Source organism: Homo sapiens, chromosome 4 (genome assembly GCF_000001405.40).
Source record: "Homo sapiens chromosome 4, GRCh38.p14 Primary Assembly".
In the NCBI taxonomy this organism is placed as follows: domain Eukaryota; kingdom Metazoa; phylum Chordata; class Mammalia; order Primates; family Hominidae; genus Homo; species Homo sapiens.
This window is the reverse complement of record NC_000004.12, coordinates 57,031,715-57,053,824: the sequence shown is the minus strand read 5'-3', so window position 1 is coordinate 57,053,824 and position 22,110 is coordinate 57,031,715. Positions and strand designations below refer to the sequence as shown.

Genomic DNA, 22,110 nt, shown 5'->3' with positions numbered 1-22,110 from the left:
GGCCCATGAGATGTGGAAAAAATGTGTTTCCAAGGCTATGTTAACATCACTAGGGAGTTTCGTCTCGGGAAAGCACTCTCTATAAAGTCAGTTCTTCCAGGTCCTCAAACCAATTCAAAACCTAGCCTGCTGATTCAACTTGTGTGGACCTCAGCCAGTCTGGTATTAGGATGATAGTGTAGGTATTCCAGCTTCCTAGGGGAGCTCTGCTGAATACGTTAGCTCATCCCTGGGCAATGTTGTTGGCACAGCCCCATGTTACCTCATCTATCACATGGTTACCAGAGCGAGCTCACCATCTTGCACACCTGAACATGGTTTCAAGTCCTTCATGGATTTGCTTCATGGCAGTAGCAGGGTCCCTTCAAGAATGACACCAGACCACATGTACCAGAACCACCATGGGCAAGAACCACACCCTGGAGTCAGACTCTTTGTCAGTACCCCACTTTTTTTTAATGCTAGACCCATACAAGGAAGGGGACAAGAATAAGAAAACATCATCAAGGGCCAGGTGCGGTGGCTCACGCCTATAATCCCAGCACCCTGGGAGCCCGAAGCGGGCAGATCACCTGAGGTCAGGAGTTCGAGATCAGCCTGATCAACATGGTGAAACTCCATCACTGCTAAAATTACAAAAATTAGCCAGGTGTGATGGTGTGTGCCTGTAGTATCAGCTACTCTGGAGGCTGAGGCAGGAGAACTGCTTGAACCTGGGAGGCAGGGGCTGCAGTGAGCCGAGATTGTACCACTGCACTCCAGCCTGGGCGACAGAGTAAGACTTCATTTCAAAAAAAAAAAAAAAGATAGAAAAGAAAGCATCATCAAATAAGAGATTTGTTTGCAAGCAACCAACACATTGCAAGAAGCAACTTTCTGTGCATGTTCTGTGGTCAATTCAAAATTACAGTGATAATTGTGAGATATCACAAGATTGACAGTCATCGTAGTGAGATATTTGAGTACTATGTCCACTTGAGAAAAACAGACTTCATGCTCCCTACGAAGATTCTCAGCATCAAAGATTGGACCCAAAACGAGGTGTCTTATTAATCCAGAGGTAACTAGCAATCAGCCAGGAACTCAACTCACAAGACCTGGGCACGCGGTCACCAGGGCAGCATTGTATTGAATGGTCTGCTCTTAGATGGACTGGCCCTGCAAATACGTGCCTGGAAGCTAAGCAAGGCCGTGCTATTCACTTATCTGCTTTACCTGGGGTGGGGTGGGGACGGGCCAGGTGGTCAGCAGTGAGCTGATGGAACTCCCTCTGGAGAAACTAGTGAGAGGGAGTGCCAAATCTGTCTTCCTTCCACCCAAAGGACCCCACATAGCCTTCCCAGGGCTAAAATGTCAGCTAGACAGTGCTTGCCTTGGCACTTCTGGTCTCCCCACTGGGGTTCAGTGCCTCCTCATGGCCCAGGTGATACCTGAAATTCAGCAAATTTAAACCCAAGTCCACCCTTTCCCCTTCTTCAATCCAGCACCTTCCTCAGACTGACACCCCTGCTTCTGTTCATGGTGCGGCAGCCTCCTGGAACCTTTGAGGCTCACAGCCTTTAAATCATGCCTCTCTTTCCTACATCCAGTCAGTTACTGGGTAGTGTTAGTTCTTCCTGAATAATCCCCCAAGTCTTCCCCTTTTCTCTGTCTTCTCATTGCTGCGACCTTGAGTTAGAGCCTTAATCCCCGCCATGTCCCATCCTGATGCGGAGACCTCCAAAATCATCTTGGGAAATGCCACTTGAATCATGACACTCCCACTTTCAGAGACACATTGGAGGGTGAGGCCCCACCTCATCTGCTTTCTGCTGTGCCCTACACCACACACGAATCCTCTTCCCGAGCTGGCCCGCATGCTCACTATTCAAGGCAGGCCAGCGTTTTCCTGCCTCTCCTCAGGCAGGTCCCTGTCTTTCACCTTCCTTGATGAAAGTCTAATTTCTGAAATGAAAAGCAACAGCTCATACTTACTGAATGTTTACCCCATGCCAGGTACTGTGCTAATGGCTGTATCTTGTTTGATCCTTTTGATGGTCTAATGACTGGGATACTATCATTCCATTTCACAGATGAATAAAGCAGGGGAAGTGAAATAACTTGTGCAATGTTGCATAACTCAGGAGTGGTAGAGCAGAATTCCTGATTCCAAGTCCACGCTCCAAAGTCACTATAGTCTATTACCTCCCAGCATTTTGTTCTTACTCTTAATGCGCTAAGCCTCCCCAACACCACCCCAACAGATTATATTTAGAGAAGAGGAAGCAGTTCTTACACACTTTTGCCCTAAACAGTGTTTGGCAGGGTCCCATTATTATAAACTATTGGTTCTTCATTCACACTAAAGTGGAAATGACTAACAGTAGCTTCCATAACTAGATGAATTTGCCTTAAACTAAAAGCCTGAGATTAAATCTGGCCTATGCTGCTTAAGCTGTTGTACTTTCTTCTCCTCCCCTGCTGTCCTCAGCCAGTACCCCTGAGACCGTGTGCTAGATTCCCATACCAGGGTTCAGCTGCTACATCATCCCGCCTCTGGAAGTTCCCTAAATGACTTGCCTTGGCAGATGGCTCTGCTCTTTAATTAGCCATACAGTTACTGCTTCCCCTTATTTAATATCAGGAAGCTTCCACTTGTTTCATCCCCTTCCCCATCTTGGCCATAGTGCCTTCCTACTATTCTTTTCCCGTTTTGTACTTTTGTGTGCTCCTGTTCCCTTTAATGTGTTATCAGAATCTCATCTCAATCTAGGGATTTTTGCCAAGTTGTCTGAACTCTCTATCTCCATATGTGGTATCTGAGGTCCTTCTTAAACCCTGATTTTCCCCTTATTTGGTATTAATGCACACACTATTTTCAGGACCCAGCATCAAGAGTCAAGGTGAGTGTTGTTTGCAAATCTATCATAACTCGGAGAAGTCCCCATACTCAAATGTCTTAGCCATGTTAGCATGTACTCAGCAAGAGGCCATGAACAGTGGCTCATGCCTGTAACCCCAGCACTTTGAGAGGCCGAGGAGGGAGGATCACTTGAAGCCAAGGGTTCGAGACCAGCCTGGGCAACAAAGCAAGACCCTGTCTCTACAAAAAAAAAAAAAAAATTCTTTTTTAATTAGCCGGGCATGGTTGCACTTGCCTGTAGTCCTAGCTCCTTGGGAGGCTGAGGCAGAAGGACCCATGAGACTAGGAGTTTGGAGTCTGCAGTGAGCTATGATCGTAGCACCATTGCACTCCTGCCTGAGTGACAGAGCAAGACTCTGTCTATAAAAACTTTTGAAAAGCCAGGTGCAGTGGCTTATGCCTTTAATCCTAGCTCTTTGGGAGGCTGAGGCAGGTGGATCACCTGAGGTCAGGAGTTCGAGACCAGCCTGGCCAACATGGTGAAACCCCATCTCTACTAAAAATACAAAAATCAGCCGGGCATGGTGATGGCTGCCTGTAATCCCAGCTACTCAGGAGGATGAGGCAGGAGAATCGCTTGAACCCACAGGGCAGAGGTTGCAGTGAGCCGAGATTGCACAACTTCACTCCTGCCTGAGCGAAAGAGCGAAACTCTGTCTCAAAAAAAAAAAAAAAAACTTAAATAAAAATAAAATAAATGTTCAGTGAGAACCATAATGTGAATAGTATAACCCAGCATGATTTTGGTGTGAGGATAATTGATAATCATTTTCTTCCAGCAGACCTACCCATCTCGGTGGGATTTGCTTCAAGTGATGTATATTCAAATTAATTTGCATCTCCTGGTCATATACTAATTGGTTGGTGAGTGGTTAGTAGCCAAGAAACACTGCTTATGGCAAGAGAAAGTCAAGTGAAAGATTAAAGAAAATCATGATTAATAATCTGCCAGCTGATAAATAAGATAGTTATAACACCACTTTGGTGAGGTGTACGCTTTTGGCCATGTGTACACTGGTGCATTTTCAAGACAGTGGCTATCTTTTCACTTCTGTTTGGCTAATCATGTTATGTTGTTCTGAAGTTACTGCTGCCCTATACCCACTTCACACAGCCTGAGCTCTGTCTCCTTCCAATGAACATGAAGATCTTTTGATTCCGTAGTTCCTGGTTCTGTTCTGATTCCGACAGGATGCTGGCATCCTCAATTAGGCCAGCTAAGGAAAGCATTAGAAAACAGTGATGCACTACACTCTGTGGAACTTACCGAAACCAACAGGATTTTAGAGAAGAAATAAGGGGGAGCCTGAAGCTGTCAGGCCGCAAAAAATGTCAAAGAGAAATGAAACTTCAGTCTTAGAATGTCAAATAAAGTGTGATAAGAAATAAGAGGAGGGAAGATATTCCAAGTAGGTAAGGGCATCAGCATAAGCAAAGGTGCTGGAAGGGGTAATGAACATGTAATGGTGGGTGAGCAGGACTGCTGGGAGCAGACAGTGAGTTTGGGTAGAAATGACATAGAAGAGTGAATTGGTAAAAATGGAAGAGATGATGGGCAAATGAGAAAGCAACGAAGCAAAAAATATATAGTACAATATGATATTGGAGGACAGAAATGATTATTGGGGGTAATTTGACTTTTGACCATTTCCCAGGCTTAATTCAAGTATATTTAGCTTTCAAACATGACTTCTCCTAATATCTTCTACACAGCTCTTTCAGATGAAAAAAAAATTGGCTAACTGGGTAAAGGGTGATACCTTTATAAGCTCTATTTTTTTAATCCCTGAGGAAGTGAACCATGTTATGAGTCACATACATCGTGTTTAGGTAGGTGAGGAAATGCATTGAACTGATTTGCAGAGAATGAGAGCTCCAGACCCAGACAGTGAGACTTCAGAACTTCATAAATGTCAAAGCATCTTTGACATCTATGTCCCAGCTCTAGGACACATTCATGATAGGTTCACTTACTTCCAAACCCAAAGAGGATATTCTTAGACACTTCCTAGTTTCTTCATCTTGTAAAAGTGGTTAAGTGGCTTGTCCAAGGTCTTTTGGCTATAAATTGTAGACAAGGATTCAGAGCCAAGTGTTCTGTCCCCAAGAATGCTTTTGTCTCTTTTTTTTAAATAGTAACATCATGAGGACATCTCAGGTCATGGCTGGGGAGTGCTTTGTGCTCTGTAAGGGACTAGGAAATTGTTCACATACTTCTTCAATATTGTTCCTGCTGTGCTTTTTATAGGATAACACATTTTAACTCTGTCCTCACTACCAAGACTTTATATAAAATCAGCTGGAATGAATTGCTGGTCAAATTCAAAATTAATTTCATGTCAAAGTCTTTTCCTCATGATATTTGTGTGTTTTGTGAGAACTGCCTTTCTTAAATTCTTCTGAACCAACTCATAATACTCCAAATTTAAATCCATCCATCTATAAAACTACCTTTTCTGTATCAGTAGTACTTTTTCAGAACATACCTATTTCTAGATTATAATCAAATATTCTTAAAATAATCTGGTAGTCTGTGAGTCCTTTGTCTAGAACTTAATTAAAAGTGGCAAAGGAGGCCGGGTGCTGTTGCTCACTCCTGTAATCCCAGTACTTTGGGAGGCCGAGGCAGGTGGATCACGAGGTCAGGAGATCGAGACCATCCTGGGTAACACGGTCACCCCGTCTCTACTAAAAATACAAAAAGTTAGCCGGGAGTGGTGGTGGATGCCTGTAGTCCCAGCTACTTGGGAGGCTGAGGCAGGAGAATGGCGTGAGCCCAGGATGTGGAGCTTGCAGTGAGCCGAGATGGCACCACTGCACTCCACACTGGGCGACAGAGCAAGACTCCGTCTCAAAAAAAAAAAGGGGGGCGGAGGGGGGCAAAGGAGAAGCCAGGCATGGTGACTTACACCTATAATCCCAGCACTTTGAGAGGCCGAGGCAGGCAGGTTGCCTGAGCTCAGGAGTTCAAGACCAGCCTGGCCAACATGGCAAGACCCCATATCTAAAAAAATACAAAATTTAGCCAGGCGTGGTGGCACACACCTGCAGTCCTAGCTATTTGGGAAGCTGAGGTGGGAGGATTGTTTGGGCCCAGGAGATTGAGGCTGCAGTGAGCCATGTTCGCACCACTGTGCTCCAGCCTGAGTGACAGAGAAGACCCAGTCTCTAAAAAGAAAAAATGTAGCAAAGGAGGAGTATGCAGACTTAGGTGGAGATTCTGCAGGAGACTTCTAAGTACTTTTAAGGTGATATGATTCATTAAATTGAATTTTAATTTACTTTATTTTTAATGTTTATTTTTTATTTGCATAAACTTATGGAGTACAAATGTAATTTTGTTCCAAGGATGTATTTCATAGTAGTGAATTTTTGTTTTCTTCCAAGGTTAGAACTTTCTTCTTCCTTGCTATAACTTCCTTCAGGATCTGGCTATCTTTCTTCATTTTTTCTTTCTTCTCCTTCTCCTTCACCTCCTCTGTATTAGACTGTTCTTATGCTGCTAATAAATACATACCCGAGACTGAGTAACTTATAAGAAAAAGATGGTTAATGGACTCACAGCTCCATGAGGCTGGGGAGGCCTCACAATCATGGTGGAAGGCGAAGGAGGAGCAAAGTCACATCTTACATGGCAGCAGGCAGGACAGCATGTGCAGGGGAACTGCCCTTTATGAAACCATCAGATCTCATGAGACTTAGTCGCTATTACGAGAACAGCACAGGAAAAACCTGTCCCCATGATTCAATTACCTTCCACCGCGTACCCCCCAACCCATGACACATGGGAATTATGGGAGCTACAATTTGAGATTTGGGTGGGGACACAGTCAAACCATATCATCCTCTCTCCCTTCTTTCCCTTCAAGGAATGTTCAAAAAGAAGAGACCCTCTAAGGAATGATCAAAAGGAAGAGACACTCTAAAGTTACTGAGCGAGAGTTATAAAAAATAGGGAAGGCAAGAAAATGAATTTAGAGGGTTGAGAAGGATCTAAAGAGATTGAATGAGAATTAATTGAGTGTGTAAGGTAAAAGGAAAGTGGGGTAGCCTGGTTTGGGTACAGTCATCTGGATAGAAAAATGTAGGTAGTCCACCTTGGGTGGACATCTCTTTACATCAGGCAGCACTGCAGATGACTTGGTTGCTTTCTGGAGTTGCCGAGGGTGGGTACAAGGCAGAGGGAGGCAGCGCACAGTCATTTATTCTATGAACAGGATGTTTGCTAGACAGATGTTTGAGCAGTCTGGAGCTCTTAATGGAACAAGGGCAAGGATAAATAAATAATTGGACCTATCCTGATGTTTGTCCCTATACATTTAAGAATTCTGTGACCTGTTTTAAACGGAATCCAAACACTGAGTATGAGTTAGATGATAATGTTGTTATTACCCTTGACCTGGCCTTGAGGACTGATTTTGAGCTTTCTGTATGAGAAAATTAGCTCAGAGTGACCTAAAAATTTCTTTATTCTTAAAAACAGAAATAAATTCTCGATCTGCCTTGCCCTTCTTGGAAGAAAGGTAGAGTGGAAAGAGTTAGAAGTTATTTGGTACAGAGTCATTGAGTACAGTGCTCTCCTGAGGTAGAACAGAACTGTCAGGGATTGAATTGCAGGACAGACCTGCAATTCAAGATGATTGTTGGCAGTGAAATTGCTGATCAATGGAATGTGTGGGATGATAGTTCTTGAGAGTCGGGGAGGAGAGTGCAGCATTGTTGGGGCTGGCATTGTATCCACCGAAAACATTTTCAGCATCTCTTCTCTTCTATACAAGACTTGTCCTCTTGGTGTCCCTGTGGGTCACCATTAAGTCGCTTGCTTATTCTTTCTCACCATGTATCTTCATTTACCTTTCTCTAAAACTTCTGTAATTTGCTTTTATCAAGAGATTTTGGTCGCGTGCAGTGGCTCACACCTGTAATCCCAGCACTTTGGGAGACTGAGGTGGGCAGATCACCTGAGGTCAGGGGTTCAAGACCAGCCTGGCCAACATGGTGAAACCCCATCTCTACTAAAAATACAAAAATTAGCCAGGCATGGTGGCGAGCACCTGTAATTCCAGCTACTTGGGAGGCTGAGGCAGGAGGATCGCTTGAACCCACGAGGCAGAGGTTGCAGTGAGCCGAGATCACACCATTGCACCCTGGGCAACAAGTGCAAAACTCCATCTAAAAAAAAAAAAAAGGAGTTTTTCCATTCCCTCTGCATATTCTGGGGGAATTTCCAGACCAGGTAAGTGGTAAAGAACCAATCAGAGCTTAGTAAATAGGTATCCTACTGGGTATCAGCTCTGAAGAAAGTACTGGAAAGAATGTTGAATCCCTACAGATTCTTCCAACACAGGAAGTCACGTGGAGGCCAACCCGCCTCCATGTACTCTAAGAGGTCTGTTTGGTCCCTTGAATATTACACTAATAATTTATTGATGTGACTTTCCTTTGCAAGAGACTGCATCTCAAAACCAAAAGGCCGTTCTGTAGCCTTATTTCTTAGCACTTTCCAGTTTACGTATTGTTTGTTAAACTTTTCATTGTGTTAGTAAACCCAGCATTTGTTCAAGGATATTTGAAATAGTCAAAGGTTTTTGTAAATGTTGTGCAGCAAACTGGTCCTAACAGCCCCTCCTCTGCCCTTCCACTACATCACCCCAGCAGGAGTCAGTGGATATTATAGATTTTTGTGGTATGGAAGTCTTGTAGAATTCTAGAAATAGCCTGGTGGCAGGATTGACAAAATCATTTACATTCTTAGAATAATCCAAATGTTGACTCAGCCTGTTTACCTAAGGTATTCCAAGCATTGGGAGAGAGAAATAGGAACCCATGATATGATTTGTCCTAATATTGAATCCCCTGACGATGGCTGTCATTCAAAGTATTCCTGGGTTCAGGTATTTTTAAAGAATTCATGGCTGGGCACTGTTGCTAACACCCATAATCCCAGTACTTTGGGAGGCTGAAGTAAGAGGATTACTTGAGCCCACGAGTTTGAGACCAGCCTAGTCAACATAGCAAGACTCTGTCTCTACAAAAATAAAAATAAAAAAAGAATTCTTACTTGTCCTAGAGTGTTCTGCTTCTTGGAATAGTAAGATGATTGGGGGGGAACAGATATATTAGATCTGCCCTCTATTTAGTGCTTCAACTTTAGTACAATTAATTTCTAAATTATGCCATAGTTATTGGTGCAAAGATAGACACATAGACCAGTGGAAAAGAACAGAGAGTCCAGAAATAGACGCACACATATACAGTGGGTCTTACAGATTTCCACAAAGGCATTATTATGATTCATTAGGAAAAAGATGGTCTTTTCAACAAATGGTGCTGAAGCAATTGGATGTCCTTTTAGGGGAGGAAAAATGAAACTTGACCTCTGCCTCATAGCACACACAAAAATTAATTCAAGATGGAGCAAAAACTTAAATGTGAAAAGTAAAACCATAAAGCTTGTAGAAGAAAACAGGAGATCTTCATAGCCTTGGGCTAGGCAAAAATTTTCTTAAACAGGACACGAAAAGCACTAACCACAGAAAAGAAAACTTGATAAATTGGACTATACTAAAACTAAGAACATCTGTTTTAAAATCCCATGGGAAAAATCCATAGCATGTCTTCAAGATCTCTGGCAGAAAATCAGGCTGGAACTTGCCCATTAGCACTCCAGAATCTGCCCCCTGCCCAAGACCGATGACCCTGCTACCTGTATTGGCAATAGGGAGATGGACACAGGTTAAAGTAAGTAGGTTTTGGCAGGGCTGAGGCCCTCAGATCCTCACAATAAAATTGTCTTGCATTCCTTGTGTGGTTTGGATATGAGAGAAGCAGCTTTGTTCCCGAGCTCCCCCTCAAATCTCTGAAAACTGGTATGCTCTTCTCAGAACAATCCTTTGAGATCCCCTGAGCTTTGAAGTCCTCCTGCCAAGTCTGTGTGTGGGAAGGAGAACAGAGCAGCATGAGGGCCATCAGAGAGGTGGGCGAAGGCAGTTCAAAGCCCAGCCAGATCCGGCTCTGTGGTGTCCAAACCCTTGGGGTCCCATAGCCCTAGAGGAAGCCCGGGATAGGGTGAGGCCCAGCCCTTTGCAGGGTTCTGTATTGCTGCATCCAGACTAGGAAATGTCTGAGACAGAGCCAGAAACGTAAATACTGCACCACTGTGCTCACCACATTCATGTTTGCAGCAGAAGAGCCAAGCCCCCTGGCCAGGATATATGCTTCCTATTCAGACCTATGGTTTGGAGGGAAGGAAGCATGAAATGTATTTAGAGCTTTCCAAACTTTTGATTGTTTTGCACATTCCTACAAAAATAAAAATATCCCATGAGATTAAAAAAAATCAGCTTCTAATGCTTTAGATGAGTGGGAAAATCTTGCACACTGGGGTCATTTCCTTTCTGTTTCAAGAAATTAATATTGTGCTGGAAATAGCCTGTTGCAGAAGGGGAGACTTTATGTCCTTTGAATGCTGATTATGCCAGAAAACTTTCCAGTCCTAAAGGGGAGGTTGTCCCTTTCCCAGGACTCTGATGCAAGATGACCCTGCAGTTTGTACTTTGCTAGGATAGGAGACCCAAGTCAGCAGAGATTTAAAATTCAGAAGGGATCATTAATTTATTCATTCAAGAAACCATGCTAAGCATGGAATAAGAGCCAGGTTAGGTTCTGGAGTCTCACACTGCCCCACATGAGGATCCCAGACTGCCAGCTCCATGACCCTCCTCTGCGGACGGTCCCAAGTCTTTCTGAAGGCCCCTGGTGATTGAACCCTGGCATTCAGAATTAGCAGAAGTGACATACTAATTACCAGTAACTAAAAAGTTGGTGTTCACATCTCTATTGCAGATGCCGGGAAGCCAGGCCGTCAGGGGACAGGCGCAGTCAGCAAGCACCCGCTCTCTCGGTATCTGTTGGCTTCCACAGTTTTGTGTTTCAGAGCCAAACCAGAAATCACCCAGGGGGTTACTTGCATCAGCTCTGGAAAATGTGTAAAGGATTGAAGTCCTGAGACTTTCCCATAATGTCTTATTTAGGCATCAGTCTCCCTCAGTTGATTAGAGCAGGAATCAGCAAATTTCTTTATAAAAGGCCAGTGACAGTGACTATTTTAGCCATACAGTCTCAGCCACAACTGCTCTAGCAGCCAGAGACCACAGGAAACAAATAAGTGTGGCTGTGTTCCAACAGAACTTTATTTTATGGACATTTCCTTTACAATTTTCACACGTCATGAAATATCCATCTTTTAATTTTTTTTCAACCATTTGAAACTGCAGGCCGGGCATAGTGGCTCACGCCTGTAATCCCAACACTTTGGGAGGCCAAGGTGGGGGGATCGCTTGAGCTCAGGGGTTCGAGACCAGCCTGGCCAACGTGGCAAAATGCTGTTTCTACTGAAAACACAAAAATTAGCTGGGCATGCACTTGTAGTCCTAGCTACTTGGGAGACTGAGTCATGGGAATTGCTTGAGCTTGAACCCGGGAGGCGGAGGTTGCCGTGAGCCAAGATCATGCCACTGCACTCCAGCCTGAGCAACAGAGTAAGGTTCTGTCTCAAAAAAATAAAATTTTTCTTAATTTAAAAAAACAAAAATCCAAACACCATTCTTAGCTCATAAGCCATGCAAAAACAGATGGCAGGCCAGATTTGGCCCACAGGCCATAGTTAGCTAACCCAGGACCAGAGAGTCATACCACTTTCATAGCAAAAAGGATACACATGGTTTGTGTTGACTCTGAGTAGGGAACTTCTCCAGAGGGTGCCATGATACAGAAGGTGGGGGGTGTGTTCCCTAATTGGGGGAATGGAGAAGCATCATTCTGGCCTCTCTCAGTGGCCCCATACCTGCTGACTCTATTTAGGCCGTGGCTTGAGGGTGCCCCCCACTTGCCAATGCCTCCTGCCAGGGACCTGGACACTGAGAACGCTGGGAAAGGGCCCTCTCCTTGGGGACCCTGGTCACACCCAATAGATCAGTCACTCTTCTTCCTTCTTACCAGCTGCCTCTCCTGAGCACACTGGAAGAAGGACCCCTGTACCACCTTCCTCGACACCCGGGCCTCTTCTGTTCAAAGGTGCCTCCTGGCCAGGCATGGTGGCTCACACCTGTAATCCCAGCAGTTGGGGAGGCTGAGGCAGGAGAATTACTTGAAGCCAGGAATTCGGGACCAGCCTGGGCAACATAGCAAGACCCCGTCTCTACAAAAATAAAAAATAAAAATTAACTGACATGGTGGTGCACGCCTATAGTCCCAGCTACTCGGGAGGCTGGGGTGGGAGGATCGCTGGAGACCAGGAGTTTGAGGCTGCAGTGAGCTATGATCAAGCCACTGCGCTCCAGCCTGGGTGGCAGAATGAGATTCTGTATCAAAAAAATAATAATAAAATTAAATTAAAAATAAAGATGTCCCTTCCAATCCCCTGACGCACACAGCACTCCACATGTTTCTTTTCTTCCCTGCCTCATCACCCTTTTCAACCTTAGATCCTAAGCTTCTTGAGGCAGAGACTTCCATCTTGTCTGGGTGCTTAGCACATTTTCAAATATTCTCTTAGATTTTTTTTCTTCATTACCCATGGAGCGGTTGCTTGTTGCCTTTCCAACCCAAAATAGAAATAGTGGTAAACAAAAGAAGAAAAACATTGAACATTTTGGAACTAAAATTTTATTACTACTGGAAAAGTCCCAGATAATAAAAAAACAGCTGGTAAATTAGCACTCATTTAAGCATGGTCTGGGGAAGAAGAAAATTTTAATAACACATTTTTCTTCCTAATTGTTTTTGTTTGTTTAGATTTATGCATTCCCAAAGTGGACCTTAAAATCATGTTGGTGGCAGGAGGAAGCCAGTGTGGTCTTTGAAATTTGCTTCAGATAATCCATCAAGGGGATGGCCTCATAAACAAAATTATTATTTTCTCCCTAAGATGCTGACTCATGTGAAGGACTGTTTAAAAGATGACTTTGGCTTTGTGCCCTCTCCTGCAGGTCCTTCCATAGTGACGCCCCCCAAGGACATCTGGAATGTCACTGGTGCCCAGGTGTACTTGAGCTGTGAGGTCATCGGAATCCCGACACCTGTCCTCATCTGGAACAAGGTCTGTGGCACAGACTTTAAGAGACATCCTAGGCTGACAAGCTTCTCTTGCACTGCACAAGGATGGTAAAACGTTAAATCCTCAGCCTGCTTTGTTGACTGCGGCTCCCGCAAGGTGAAGCCTTAGGGCAGTCATACAGGCCCCTCCCCTGGATTCATGGAACAAAAACCAGTCCCTGCCATGCTTTTGTTAGCAGCATCCTAGAATCTGAGAAACTGGAAGAACAATAATGCTGAACACCTGAACCCACCTTCAGGGTGTGTGTGCACCTGTGGTGTGTGTATGTGTGTGCATATGTGGGTGCGAGTGAAAGTGTGTGTGTCTGTGTTTGCGCCCTCAGTGGAGACAGTATAGCATAGGGGTTAAAAGCGTACGTTTCTCTCTTTCTGTCCCAAAATACCACCTCCAAGCCCCCACCAAGCTGTTTGTGATGGCATCAGTCTCCTCATTTAAGACTGAACATTTAGCTGATAATTTAGATCCTGTCTGCTTGGAGGCATTATTATTATTTTACTGGGAGGCTCGGCTAAGAAGGTAAAAGGACACAAAGCCCTGTAGCCTTCTCCTGGGAGCATGGATTATTTTTTCAGATTCCCTAAGTGCTGGGAGATGGATGAGTACATTTTAAGGGCACTTGGAAGTAGGATAGAAGGAATGAGGTGGGATCTATTCTCCTAAGTACCAAGGCTGTAGAACCATAAGTTAGGGACAGAGGAGACCACTCCAGAACAGAGCATTAAAAAGGAACAAGAGGAGGAATAGCAAAGAAAAAAATGTCTCCTTTCTGAATTTTGCTAAATGCTGGCCCCAGCCCCAAGTGGAAAAAGCATGATATTCTTTTAATAAATCAGCTTTGAAATGACTTCCCAAATGGAAAAAAAGAAAAAAAAAAGTGTGAGGCTGGGTGCAGTAGCACATGCCTGTAATCCCAGCACTTTGGGAGGCTGAGGCAGGAGGATCACTTGAGTCCTGGAGTTTGAGACCAGCCTGACCAACACAGTGAGACTTCCTTCTTACAAATAATTTTTTTAATTAGCTGGGCATGGTGAGGCATGCCTGTGGCCCCAGCTACTCAGGAGACTAAGGTGGAAGAACCCCTTGAGCCAGGAGATTGAGGCTGCAGTGAGCTGTGATTGCCCCACTGCACTCTAGCCTGTCTCAAAAAAAAAAAAAAAAAAAAGAGTGTGAATTCCTTAGCCAGGGTGGCTGAGTTCTCTGCAAGTCAGGGTTTCTCAGCCTCAGCACTATTGACATTTGGGGCCAGATAATTATTTGTTGTGCGGGCTGCCTGTGCTTTGGAAGATGTTTAGCAGTATCCCCAGCCTCTACCCACTATATAACAGTAGCATTCCCCCATCCCCCCTGTCGTGAGAATTAAAAGCATCTTCAGACATTGCCAAATGTCCCCTAAGGGTGTGGAGCTGGGGAATTGCCCTGGACTGAAAACCACTGCTGTTAGCCTCAACTCTGTTCTCTACCTTATAAAAGTAGCATGTAATTATCATAAAGATGAAATAAAGTAATGCAAGTAAAAATTACTTGATACATAGTTAGCACTCAGTAGACATTAGCTACTGTTCCTGGAAATTTTTCCCTTCAAGTGGCATTATCTTGTATAATTATCTTCATATTTGAAGGACAACATCATCTCAGCATGTATGGAGAAGGGAAAAGAAAACACTTATTTGCCATCAACTAACACCTCACAATTATACCATACACTTACGTTTTTGTCTTTTTTTTTTTTTTTTTTTTTTTGAGACATAGTTTCACTCTTATTGCCCAGGCTGGAGTGCAATGGCACCATCTCGGCTCACCGCAACCTCGCCTCCCGGGTTCAAGTGATTCTTCTGCCTCAGTCTCTCAAGTAGTTGGGATTACAGGCACCCGCCACCACGCCTGGCTAACTTTGTATTTTCAGTAGAGACAGGGTTTCTCCATGTTGGTCAGGCTGGTCTCGAACTCCCGACCTCAGGTGATACGCCCACCTTGCCCTCCCAAAGTGCTAGGATTACAGGTGTGAGCCACCGCGCCTGGTCGTTTTTGTCCTTTTTATACATTTTGAATTGCTGAGCCTCACAACTATCCTACGAAAAATAAAAATTAAAAAATTATCAAACTCATGCTACCAAAAAAGGAACTTAGTTTAAGTAAAAGGGCATAACCAGACATCCATTTTAAGCTGCCTTACTTCTCCAGCAAGCTCTAAGGTGGATGATAGTCTCCCTTGACTATTTTGTTTGCTCTCTGTGTGACCGGAGAAGCAACTTCTAGAACTCCAGGAGGACTGTGGCTCCCGCAGTCGGAGCTCTTTCTGTTGCAAGTTCTACCAGCCCATTTGAAACCAGCCTAGGCAAAACAAAAAGCGGGGCGGGATCCAGCCTCAAGGGCCCCTGCATCCAGGTACACACGCCATCAGAACTCTAACTCTTGACTCTTTGCTCTCAATATACTAGTCTCATTTTCTTCTGCTTCAGAAAGCTTCCTATGCAGTGGGAGATATCAACTCCACTCACATTTTTATTACAGCTTAAAGACCCCAGAGGAAAGAAAGGGCTTCCCTTCTCCCTGCTGCATTGTGAAAATCCCACGAAGGGCTCAAGCCCAGGTCGGGTCACCTGCTAAGCTCTGGCTCCCCCATGCGGCCGGAGGGATGCGGCCACTGACATTGGCACCGGCGTGAATCCGCCTGGTTTGTGTAAAATCTGGGAACAGGTACCAGAAAATGCCTGAGGTGGGGGTGATGGCAGAGGCAACACTACTATACCATCCTTTACAGTGAAGCTTCTCTTAAAGGAGCAATAAAATTTCACCCCGATCAGTTATGTTTTTAAGAGGAAGGCGGAGCAAGAGTAAGAGCAGAAATGCAGTCCGTGGATGGGTTCCCCTCCATCCTTACTGCAAGAACTGCAGGCGTTCCTCACTGCTAATTTGGAGATTGCTGGTTTGCTCAGGGTGTGGGGAGGTGGAGAAATAATGTTCCGAGGAATACCCATGAAAAGCTCCGTTGCAGTTCTCTACAGTTTTCTAGGGATACTTACACAATGAGAAGCGAGGGTCACCCAAGCGTCCTGGGGCATGTGACCTTATTGGCAAATCTTGGCAAAGAATAATTTCTTCAGTCCTTGCTCTACCCAATCCCAGCTACAGTATTCACATACCAGAGGAATACGTCTGCCTCGGGAATCTTTTCCCTTTTAGGACTGTACAGGGCAGATCCCAATAGACAAGGCCTCCCTGAGTGCTTGTCCTCAGGGCTAGTCAGAAACACCAAGGCAGTTGAGGCTGGTGTGGTGGCTCGCACCTGTAGTCCCTAGCCACTCGGGAGGCTGAGGTGGGAGGATCGCTTGAGCTCAAAAGGTGGGGCTGCAGTGAGCTATGATGGCACCACTGCACTCCAGCCTGGGCAACAGAGCAAGATCCTGTCTCTGAAAAAAAAAACCAAAAAACCCACTATGTCAGTCAACGAGATGGGTGCTGAAGTAAAGAAGTGAAGAGGAAGTAGGAGAGAAACAATTTTTTCTGCAGACTTTCCAGAACAAGCAAAACCCAACTGTGATGCTCTGCCGGTTTTCCTCTACCTTCATAATGTAATTTGCCACATGCATGACCCAAAGCAATGTTTCTTACACTGCAGACCATGACCCATCAGTGACTCCTGGAACTAATGTAGCGATCACAACCACCATGTTCTTATAAAAAATAAAAAATAGAACAGAACCTATGTTAAGGCATCACACTTACCACTTATGAAGGTGTCATTTCCTAAAACTTTTGTATATTCCAGATATACGATAGTTTGGTCCATGTCAAAACTAAGGAAACTTGGGAAGTCACTGACCTAAATAATTAAACAGGGTATTTGTTTTCTCATCGCTGTCCTTGTAACCAGACTGTTAAGAATACAAACATATTTACTATCATGTGTGTTTCAAATCCAATTTAAGAGTAGAACACCTTTTTGGATAGATTATTAGAATCCTCACTTGTAAAACAAGAGAAACTGAGGCTCAAATAAAGACAGCATGTCCTTCTTGCTCAAGGATTCTTAGCAACAGCAGAATTAATGGTACAAGCCTTTTCTCCATGACACTTGAGACTACGGTGGCAATTCTTACGGTTGGCACAGCCTGGCGAGTGGTCTTTACTTTCCTTACTGGTAGTAAGGAAAGCTGGCTTTAACAAGCCCCATACCTTTCAGCAAACTCCTAGCCTAGAAAGATTCGAAGGGCAATATTTTGAAATGGGAACGTGAACTGAAATAGCCATATTTGACTTAACCCTTTTAAATCAAAGATGATGCTCACAGCGAAAGCAAAACACCTTCCCAATATTTGTTTCTGAGACGGAGAGGCTCTCTGTTTAATTCTTTTCTTGCCTGAATATTTCTTCAGATTAGGGCTTCCTTGACCTCTAAGAATATTTTTTAATCAAAAATAGTGACCTCTAAGGTAATAGTAATAAGCAGAAATTATCCAAAGACGTATAAAGAAAGAGTTGAGAATCTCCCCCCACCTCCTCCTCCTGCCTGAGGTAACCAATGTGAACTGCCCTGGTTTGTATCTTTCCACACTCTTTTTCATATCCAAGCATATTCAAACATATATCCCTACGGTGAAATGAGAATATAGTGTGCCAGTAAATTATTCTGAAACTCGCTTTTCTCAACAAATACTTCATGGACATCCGTCCAAGTCTGCTTCTCAACAGCTACGTAATATTCCAAGTATGAATACTGTAATTTATTAAATCAGTTCTGTATTTTTTCTGTTGTTTCCAAATTTTTGTTAACTTAAAAAACCTACTTTAAGCATCAAAGTACACATATCATACATACTAGTGATTGTATTGCTATAAGATAGATTCCCCAACAGTTACCTAAGTCAAAATATTTGTTTCAGTGTTAACAGACATTGTCAGATTACTTTCTAAATAGATTGTAGTAATTCACACTCCCACCAGAAATGGAGAAGTGCCATTTCTCTGCATCTTTACTAGCACTGAATATTAACCTCTCTTTTTTAGTTTTAATTCCAATTTTAACTAGAAAACACATATTTATTGGCCAGGCACAGTGGCTCATGCCTGTAATCCCAGCACTTTGGGAGGCCAAGGCAAGTGGATCACTTAAGGTCAGGAGTTCGAGACCACCCTGGCCAATATGGCAAAACCCCGTCTCTACTAAAACTATAAAAATTAGCCAGGCGTGGTGGCACATGCCTGTAATCCCAGCTACTCGGGAAGCTGAGGCAGGAGAATCACTGGAATCCCGGAGGCGGAGGCAGAGGTTGCAGTGAGCTGAGATCGCACCACTGCACTCCACCCTGGGTGACAGAGCGAGACTCTGTCTCAAAAAAAAAAGAAAACACATACTTAACAACACTTAGAATCCCCTTACACGAATAAGGGAGAGTTTGACATATAAAAATTTGTCATATGAAAATTCTTGGCACTTTTTTCTATGTTTTCTACATGATGTATAACCTTTTATAATTACGTAACATTAATTAAAATACGCCATGCCAACACTTGTGAAAAGAAGGGAAAAATAAAGTATATCTATATTGTGATTTATGTTAAATATTATATTTAACAAGATACATTTCCCTTTCCATAGTGGATCAGGTTAATTAGCATAAAATGCTGTTACTAAGAGCTATGGGATTTGAGGCTTAGTTGCTGAGATTCAGTATTTCAGTGCTGCAGTGTTTATTTTCTTGCTTTGGTCACACATAAAACTCATATGATTCTGAAATTCAGTAAATAAAGGTCAGAGTCATATTACTTGAGACCTTGGATCAAATTAATACTTCTACCAAAATATTCTTACAACCCATTTTTAAGTAACTATTTCAAAAGCTGTATTAGCATAAACCGTTTCTGCCAGCTACTTGGGAAACTAAGGGAAAAGGTACCTATTGAGTATGTTTGTCTTCACAGCATTTATGAGAAAGACATTAAGTTACGTGGTTTTCTCTCACTAATAGTGGCAATGTGGGAAAATTCCAGAAAAAAAATGCAAAAAGCCAGGCTTTCCAAATCATGCAAGATATTTTTTCTAGAGCAGGAATTGGCCTAGATCACATGTGGTTTGCTGAATCCCAGTCCTGGCATCATAAAGCTGAGAAAATACAGTGTAGGTTTGAAGCCGACACAACAGCAGAGTACCAAAAAACACATGGTAGGAGTGGGATCCACATGGGAAAAGCAACACTGAGATGGAAGTTAATAAAGTGTATATATTTATTTATATATTTATTATATTTATACATACGGTGTCTATATATACACACTATTATCTGGTCTTTATTAAGATTTGCTTTATTATAGAAGAAAATGAAAAGGAAACTAGCTATTTGAGGTTGTAAATCCTTTCTAATTACAAAGGTAATATCAATAAATGTCAGGTTGGCTCTTAAAGGAGATCTGGGATGGAATGAACAAACAATTCGTATATCCTTTTTTTTTTAAAACTCACCATTATCACAAGGCTTAAAATATTTGTACTCTGTAACTCAGCTGCTAAATGTATATGTATCGAGGAGCTACAAGTGAATTTCATTCTTTTGTATATTTTCCAGAGTTTATATAATAAAACATTTTGCCTTTTAAAATGAGGGCAAAAAGGATACTATTCAGTATTGGCCTTGCACCAAAGAAACTGAGTTTCTTCTGAATCTTGACATGACATACACAGAAACAGTCAGCAAGTTTTGTCATAAAAGAACAATGACAGCACATGTATTTGACAGCTGTTTTTTTTTTTTTTTTTTTGAGATGGAGTCTCACTCTGTTGCCCAGGCTGCAGTGCAGTGGCGCGATCTCAGCTCACTGCAACCTCCGCCTCCAGGTTCAAGCAATTCTCCCACCTTAGCCTCCAGAGTAGCTGGGACTACGGGTGCTCGCCAACACAATCGGCTAATTTTTGTGTTTTTACTAGAGACAGGGTTTTGTCATGTTGGTCAGTCTGGTCTCGAACTCCTTTGATAGGTGTTTTTTATCTTAGGTGTTCAGTAAATCATTTGATTAATTCTTAGCCCTCAGAATAAAGTAATGGTATTGGCTTTGGTCTCAGCCTATTTTCCATTGATGAAGCTGTTGCAGGAAGAGCCCCAAGGTCCCAAGCATCAAACCTAGTGCTGGGTGACAGTTCATCAGTTGAACATGGCATGACAGGCAAAAGGCCTGGAACTGAGAAGCAGAATTTCCAAGAGCATGAGTGAATGAATGATGGTGACCAGTGGCAGGAAATTATGACCATGTATATTCCCCAGGCATGCAGAAAAATACATTAGTTTAAAACATGTACGCTTAGCAGGAAACTGGCAGGAAGAAATAAAAGAGGATCTATATTTTAAAAGTATTTAGGAAAGGGAAATAGTTCAGTGAAATGCTGGGTTTACTCTGTTAGAAAGTCTGACATACACTATGTGCAATTGTAGGGATGTGGCCACTTCCAAGTAGATGATCTGGTGTACAAAACTCAGTATTACTCTCCTTTTGTTTTTGCAGGTAAAAAGGGGTCACTATGGAGTTCAAAGGACAGAACTCCTGCCTGGTGACCGGGACAACCTGGCCATTCAGACCCGGGGTGGCCCAGAAAAGCATGAAGTAACTGGCTGGGTGCTGGTGAGTACCAGTACCAAGAGCTGGCAAGAGTTTCATTCTTAGCATTAGACATAAGCAGACCTGGCAAAGGTGCCTGATGTACCGCCAGCCTAAAGGTGCTTGCTCTTCCACATCTGTTTGGAATAGCCTTACCATGGAGTCGCTGCTCCTCTTTCAGAGAAACTAAAGGAAAAGTGCTTTATTGCATGTTTTGAAAACAACCAATGAATTAACAAGAACTAGTATTTTCCTAAGAGTTCAAAGCAAAATCCTCACACGGAGCTGCGTGGCCCAAGCATTGTTTTAACTGATTATCGATTAATAAATACCTTATTTTACTTGACCCTGGATATTCATGGAGAATACTTTGATCATATACCCTTATCAAGGTTGCCCTTAAACCGATAATGTGTACCTATCCAGTTTTTAACCTATGCAGTATGATCAAAAGTTGTCCATGACATTTCCTCATATGAATCCTCAGCAAACCAAATATGGTAGTTATCGAAGTCTCCTATCACAGGACTTGCACTGCTTCTAGCAGTACCTTTGCTATGAATCCCCTGGTCATCTTAGGAAATTTATGAAATAATGACCTCACTGGAACCACTGACAAAAGAGAAGACCACCACAGAGGAATACTAGATCTTTTTTCTTTCACAGGTATCTCCTCTAAGTAAGGAAGATGCTGGAGAATATGAGTGCCATGCATCCAATTCCCAAGGACAGGCTTCAGCATCAGCAAAAATTACAGTGGTTGATGCCTTACATGAAATACCAGTGAAAAAAGGTACACAATAAATCTCACAGCCATTTAAAAATGACTAGTACATTTGCTTTAAAAAGAACAGAACTAAGTATGAAAGTATCAGACGTAGCTATTGATGAAATTCTGTAGTTAGCAACCCATAAGGGCATTAAGTATGCCATTAAAATGTACAGCATGAGACTCCAAAAGATTATCTGGATGGGTGACTGAACATCGTTATTATGACTTAGATGCTTTTACCTTATCTAACATGTAAGAGTCAAAATCAAACTTGCCTGGAATGGCTTCTATTTCCCATAGCTTTCTACCTATCTACTTGGCATTTTCCCTTTGTGTTGTGACTATTAAATTCCTATTTAAAAGAAAATGATTGTGGGCAATTCTCGCCCTTCACTTTTGCTTTTAAAAGAAAAGGCCACAAAGGAGAGTATATTGGCAAATACCCAGTTCTGTTCTGCCTCCCCTTCCTTCACTGCCAAAAAGCTTCCTCTGAAGAACCCATCCTGTGTCATAGCAGTGCTACTTTACATTTATATAGTTCTATGAAACTGATGTCTGAATTGGCTTTCCCTTAGACAAAAGAACAAAATTTACCGTCACCATGTGTCAAACCATTCCACTGTGCAGATCACTCAGCTGTGATATGAAAAGAAATATTAAGTAAAGAAGTATTTGGTCAGATTCTCTTCAGCCATAATGTGTAATGTCAGGCAATGAAACAGAACAGTAGCT

At 43.0% G+C, this 22,110-nt stretch overlaps 1 protein-coding gene across 2 annotated transcripts in view; it reads left to right on the top strand.

The window, feature by feature from the left end:
- Positions 1-22,110, top strand: part of IGFBP7 (insulin like growth factor binding protein 7) — a 79,613-nt gene that overhangs the window by 56,561 nt on the left and 942 nt on the right. Inside the window, exons 2-4 of one of the 2 annotated variants that reach the window (NM_001553.3) lie at positions 12,892-13,001; positions 20,514-20,630; positions 21,273-21,399. In NM_001553.3, coding sequence (NP_001544.1) covers positions 12,892-13,001; positions 20,514-20,630; positions 21,273-21,399 — 354 coding nt within the window. Of the gene's footprint in view, positions 1-12,891; positions 13,002-20,513; positions 20,631-21,272; positions 21,567-22,110 lie in introns of those variants that run through there. The other variant, NM_001253835.2, reaches the window with a different exon arrangement.